Raw genomic sequence first — 6,743 nt, 5'->3', positions numbered from 1 at the left:
GAAATTTGTTTCAACAGGCCCTGAGGTTTACTTTTGATTTACAAACTCTTCCTTCATAGAGAGCGAAATTCAAGTGTGCTAATATGATTTTTGAGGGGATAATCAGTCCAGAAGTCACGATAGCCCACTGACTTATTTTCATAGGACTTTGTATCTATAGAGCTAAATAAATAGCAAACATTTTTTCACTGTAGAGGAAGATAGCATTGTTATTAAAGTAATGACTATTAGTCCCCTTGTCTCCAACTCTCTGCTACAGGCATAAATATGCTTGTTTCATCCACCAGTCACATATTTAATTAGAGGCATTTGTTATCTCTGATTGACACTTGAATATGTCCTAAATTTATCCTAATGAATAGTCACCAGTCTCCCCACTATTTGGGCCTTCCAAGCCTTCATCTCATTTAAGGAGATGCCAAGCTCACTCCCATAGGGCTAGACCAGCACTGTTGAATAGAACCTTCTGTGATGAAGGAAATGCTTTTTATCTGCACCATCCAGTATGAAAGTCACTAGATATGTGGCTGCTGAACACTCAGAATGTAGCTAGTGTGACTAAGAACAAAGTTTTGTTTGTTTATGGGCACCAATCTGTGAGTCAGCAGAGGACCCAAAGCCGGACCAAAGACCTCATACTCAGAATCTCCACTCAGTCTGCTTACCAGAACTTTGTCCTTGGCCATATTTTTGCACCTAGCACATAACAATATCAGGAAATGTCATTCCACTGAAATTCAAGTGACTTTTCTGGCTAGGTTGACTAGAACTAATTACCATACCTTTCATTCCAAATACTAAGAACAATTTTGTATGATGTAATCATCATGACTATCCTAGGAAAAGTATCTTTTAAATTTTTAGTATTTTTTATTTTTATAGAATTAGGGGGTACAAGTGCAATTTGGTTCCATAGATATATTGCATAGTGGTGAAGTCTGGACTTTTAGTGTAACCATCAACTAAATGGTGTACATTGTACCCAAGAGGTGACTTTTCTTTCTTTTTTTTTTAATTTATTCTAAAAAAATGTGATACATGTGCAGAACATGCAGATTTGTTCCATAGGTATATGTGTGCCATGGTGGTTTGCTTCACCTATTGACCCATCTTCTAAGTTCCCTCCCCTCACCCCCCAGCCCCCAACAGGCCCTGGTGTGTGTTATTCCCCTCTCTGTATCCATGTGTTCTCAATGTTCAAATCCTACTTAAGAGTGAGAACATGTGGTGTTTGGTTTTTTGTTCCTGTGTTAGTTTGCTGAGGATGATGGCTTCCAGCTTCATCCATGTCCCTGCAAAGGACATGATCTCATTCCTTTTTATGGCTGCATAGTATTTAATGCTCTATATGTATCACATTTTCTTTATCCAGTCTATCATTGATGGGCATTTGGGTTTGTTCCATGTCTTTGCCATTGTAAATAGTGCTGCAGTAAACATACATGTGCATGTGTCTTTATAGAAGAATGATTTATATTCCTTTGGATATATACCCAGTAATGGGATTGCTGGATCAAATGGTATTTCTAGTTCTAGATCCTTGAGGAATCCCCATACTGTCTTCCAAAATAGTTGAATGAATTTACATTCCTACCAATAGTGTAAAAGCGTTCCTATTTCTCCACAGCCTTGCCAGCATCTATTGTTTCCTGAGTTTTCAATAATCATCATTCTGACTGGCATGAGATGGTATCTCATTGTGGTTTTGATTTGCATTTCTCTAATGATCAGTGATGTTAAGCTTTTTTTCATATGTTTTTGGCCATGTAAATGTCTTCATTTGAGAATTGTCTGTTCATGTCTTTTGCCCATTTTTGATGGTTTTTTTTTCTTGTAAATATGTTTAAGTTCCTTGTAAATTCTGGATATTAGACCTTTGTCAGATGGGTAGATTGCAAAATTTTTCTCCCATTCTTTAGATGGCCCGTTCACTCTGATGATAGTTTCCTTTGCTGTGCAGAAGCTCTTTAGTTTAATTAGGTCCCATTTGTTAATTTTGGCTTTTGTTGCAATTGCTTTTGGTGTTTTAGTCATGAAGTCTTTGTCTATGCCTATTCCCTGAATGGTATTGTCTAGGTTTTCTTCTAGGGTTTTTATCGTTTTGGTTTTTACACTTAAGTCTTTAATCCATCTTGAGTTAATTTTTGTGTAAGGTGTAAGGAAGGGGTCCGGTTTCAGTTTTCTGCATATGGTTTGCCAGTTTTCCCAGTACTATTTATTGAATAGGAGATCCTTTCCCCATTGCTTGTTTTTGTCAGGTTTGTCAAAGATCAGATGGTTGTAGATATGTGGTGTTATTTCTGAAGTCTCTGTTCTGCCGCATTTGTCTATGTGTTTTGGTACAAGTACCACGCTGTTTTGGTTACTGTAGCCTTGTAATATAGTTTGAAGTCAGGTAGCATGATGCCTCCAGCTTTGTTCTTTTTGCTTATACTTCTCTTGGCTATACAGGGTTCTTCTTTGATTCCATATGAAATTTAAAATAGTGTTTTCTAATTCCATGAAGAATGTCAGTGGTAGTTCGATTGGAATAGCATTGAACCTGTAAATTACTTTGAGCAGTATGGCCATTTTCATGATATTGATTCTTTTTATCAATGAGGATGGAATGTTTTTCCATTTGTTTGTGTCCTCTCTTATTTCCTTGAGCAGTGTTTTGTAGTTCTTGAAGAGGTCCTTCACACCCCTTGTTACCTGTATTCCTAGGTATTTTATTCTCTGTAACAATTCTGAATAGGAGTTCATTCATGATTTTGCTCTCTGCTTGCCTATTGTTGGTGTAAAGCAATGCTTTTGATTTTTGCACATTGGTTTTGTATCCTGAGACTTTGTTGAAGTTGCTTATCAGCTTAAGGAGTTTTGGGGCTGAGATGATGGGGATTTCTAAATATAGAATCATGTCATCTGCCAACAGAGACAATCTGACTTCCTCTCTTCCTATTCAAATGCCCTTTATTTCTTTCTCTTGCCTAATTGCCCTGGCCAGAACTTTGAATACTATGTTGAATAGGGGTGGTGAAAGAGGGCATCCTTGTCTTGCACCGGATTTCAAAGGGAATGCCTGCAGCTCTTGCCCATTCAATATTTTATTGGCTATGGGTTTGTTACAAATGGCTGTTATTATTTTGAGGTATGTTCCATCAATACCTAGATTATTGAGAGTTTTTAACGTGAATGGGTGTTGAATTTTATCAAAGGCCTTTTCCGCACCTATTGAGATAATCATGTGGAATTTGTCATTGGTTCTGTTTATGTGATGGATTACATTTATTGATTTGTATATGTCGAATCAGCCTTGCATCCCAGGGATGAAGACGACTTGATCATGGTGGATAAGTTTTTTTGTGCTGCTGGGTTCAGTTTGCCAGTATTTTATTGAGGATTTTTGCATTGATATTCATCAAGGATATTATCCTGAAGTTTTCTTTTTTTGTTGTGTCTCTGCCAGGTGTTGGTATCACAATGATGCTGGCTTCATGAAATGTGTTAGGGAGGAGTCCCTCCTTTTCAGTTGTTTGGATTAGTTTCAGAAGGAATGGTACCAGCTCCTCTTTGTATTTCTGGTAGTATTCAGCTGTGAATCTGTCTGGTCCTGGGCTTTTTTTGATTGGTAGGCTATTAATTACTGCCTCAATTTCAGAGCTTGTTATTGGTATATTCAGGGATTCAACTTCTTCCTAGTTCAGTCTTAGAAGGGTGTGTGTGTCCAGGAATTTATCCATTTCTTCTAGATTTTCCAGTTTATTTGCATAGAGGTGTTTATATTATTCTCTGATGGTAGTTCTTATTTCTCTGGGGTCAGTGGTGATATCCCTTGTATCATTTTTATTGTGTCTATTTGATTCTTCTCTCCCTTCTTCATTAGTCTAGCAAGTGGTCTATCTATTTTAATTTTTTCAAAAAAACACCTCCTGAATTCTTTGATTTTTTTGCAGGGTTTCTCATGTCTTTATCTCCTTCAATTCTTCCCTGCTCTTAGTTATTTCTTCTCTTCCAGCTTTTGGATTCGTTTTCTCTTGCTTCTCTAGCTCTTTTAATTGTAATGTTAGGGTGTGAATTTGAGATCTTTCTAGCTTTCTGATGTGGGCCTTTAGTGCCATAAATTTCCCTCTAAACACTGCTTTAGCTGTGTCCCAGAGATTCTGATATGTTTTCTTTGTTCTCATTGGTTTCAAAGAACTTCTTCATTTCTGCCTTAATTTTATTGTTTACCCAGGAGTCATTCGGGAATAGGTTGTTCCATTTCTGTGAAATTGTGTGGTTTTGAGTGAATTTCTTAATCCTGAGTTCTAATTTGATTGTACTGTGGTCTGAGAGACTGTTTGTTATAATTTCAGTTCTTTCCCATTTGCTGAGAAGTGTTTTACTTCCAATTATGTGGTCAATTTTAGAATAAGTGCCATGTGGCACTGAGAAGAATGATTATTCTATTGATTTGGGGTAGAGAGTTCTGTAGACATCTACTAGGACCACTTGATCTAGAGCTGAATTCAAGTCCTAATATCCTTGTTAATTTTCTGTGTCATTGATACTGACAGTGGGGGTTTAAAGCCTCCCACTATTATTGTGTGGGAGTCTAAGTCTCTTTGTCAGTCTCTAAGAACTTGTTTTATGAATCTGGGTGCTCCTGTACTGGGTGTATATATATTCAAAATAATTAGCTCTTCTGGTTGAATTGTTTCCTTTACCATTTGGTAATGTGCTTTTTTGTCTTTTTGATCTTCATTTGTTTAAAGTCTGTTTTGTCAGAGACCAGGACTGCAACCCCTGATTTTTTTTTTTTTTTTGTTTCCATCTGCTTGGTAAATTTTCCTCCATCTCTTATTTTGAGCCTATGTGCGTCTTTGCATGTAAGATGGGTCTCCTGAATACAGCACACCAATGGGTCTTGACTCCTTATCCAATTTGCCTATCTGTCCTTTAATTGGGGCATATATCCCATTTAAATTTAAAGTTAGTATTGTGTGAATTTGATCCTGTCATTATGAGGCTATTTGGGTATTTTGCACACTAGTTGATGCAGTTTCTTTGTAGTGTCATTGGTCTTTATATTTTGGTGTGTTTCTGCAATGGCTGGTACTGGTTTTCCCTTTCCATAGTTAGTGCTTCTTTCAGGAGTTCTTGCAGGACAGGCCTGGTGGTAATGAAATCCCTTAGCATTTGCTTGTCTGGAAAGGATTTTATTTCTCCTTCACTTATGAAGCTTAGTTTGGCTTGATGTGAAATTCTGGGTTGAAAATTCTTTTCTTTAAGAATGTTCAATATTGGCCCCCAATCTCTTCTGGCTTGTAGAGTTTCTGCTGAGAGGCCTCCTCTTAGCCTGATGGGCTTTCCTTTGTAGGTGACCTGGCCTTTCTCTCTGGCTGCCCTTAACAGTTTTTCCTTCATTTAGACCTTGGAGAATCCGATAATCATGTGTCTTGGGGTTGATCTTCTTGTGGATACCTTACTGGTGTTCTCTATATTTCCTGAATTTGCATGTTGGCCTGTCTTGCTAGGTTGGAGAAGTTCTCCTGGATAATATCCTGAAGTGTGTTTTCCAGCTTTTTTCCATTCTCCCTGTCTCCTTCTGGTACTCCAATCAATCATAGGTTTGGTCTTTTATGAAGTCCTATATTTCTTGGAGGCTTTGTTCATTCATTTTCATTCTTTTTTTTCCCTATTCTTGTCTGCATGTCTTATTTCAGTAATGTAGTCTTCAAACTCTGATATCCTTTCTTCTGTTTGGTCGATTTGGCTGTTGATACTTGTGTATGCTTCATGAAGTTTTCATGCTGTGTTTTTCAGCTCCATTAGGTCATTTATATTCCTCTCTAAACTGGTTATTCTAGTTAGCAATTCCTCTAACCTTTTGTCAATGATCTTAGCTTCTTTACATTGGGTTAGAACATGTTCCTTTAGCTCATCATAGTTTTTTATTACCCATCTTCTGAAGCCTACTTCTGTCAATTTGTCCATCTCATCCTCCATCCAGTTCTGCACCCTTGATGGAGAGATGTTGTGATCATTTGGAGGAGAAGAAGCGTTCTGGCATTTTGGGTTTTCTGCATTTTTTCATTCATGTGGCTCTTTCTCATCTTCATGAATTTGTCTAGTTTTGGTCTTTGAGCCTGCTGACCCTCAGATGGGGTTTTTGTGGGGGCCCGTTTTGTTGTTATTTTTGTTGATGGTGTCATTGTCACTTTCTGTTTGTTTTTCTGTCAATGGTCAGGTCCCTCTTCTGTAGGGCTGCTGCAATTCGCTGGGGATTCACTTCCAGCCCTATTCATCTGATTCGCTTCCATGCCTGGAAATGTCACTCAGGGAGGCTGGAGAGTAGCAAAGATGGATGCCTCCTGCTTCTGGGACCTCTGACCTCAAGGAGCATCAACCTGATGTCAGTAGGATGCTCCTGTGTAGGGTGTCTGACAAACCGTGTTGGAGGGTCTCACCCAGTTTGGTGGCACCAGGAGCAGAACCCATTTAACAAAGCACTTTGTGCCTTGGTGGAGATGATATGTTTCGCTGAGGTGAAACCCACTCATCTGGGCTTCCTGGATTCCTCAGAACTACCAGGAGGAGAGGCTAAGTCTGCTGGTTCACAGAGACTGCGACCACCCCTCCCCTAGGCCTAGGGAGATCCTAATTCTGTCCCTGAGCCTCTGGCTGGAGTTATTGGAGATCCTGCAGGGAAGCCCCACTCACTGAGGAAGGATGGGTCAGGGTTAGAGCTAAAGAGTCACTCTGGCCACAGATTGCCACAG

General features: G+C 38.8%; 2 annotated features.

The window, feature by feature from the left end:
- Positions 461–755: an enhancer, noted in NCBI's record as "tiled region #5358; HepG2 Activating non-DNase unmatched - State 24:Quies". NCBI's record gives its function as "activates a minimal TATA promoter and a strong SV40 promoter by Sharpr-MPRA in HepG2 cells {active_cell/tissue: HepG2}" and the evidence as "EXISTENCE:reporter gene assay evidence [ECO:0000049][PMID:27701403]".
- Positions 461–755: a silencer, noted in NCBI's record as "tiled region #5358; K562 Repressive DNase matched - State 9:DNaseU". NCBI's record gives its function as "weakly represses a minimal TATA promoter and a strong SV40 promoter by Sharpr-MPRA in K562 cells {active_cell/tissue: K562}" and the evidence as "EXISTENCE:reporter gene assay evidence [ECO:0000049][PMID:27701403]".

Source organism: Homo sapiens, chromosome 1 (genome assembly GCF_000001405.40).
Source record: "Homo sapiens chromosome 1, GRCh38.p14 Primary Assembly".
Taxonomy (NCBI): domain Eukaryota; kingdom Metazoa; phylum Chordata; class Mammalia; order Primates; family Hominidae; genus Homo; species Homo sapiens.
This window is presented reverse-complemented; position numbering and strand designations above follow the sequence as displayed.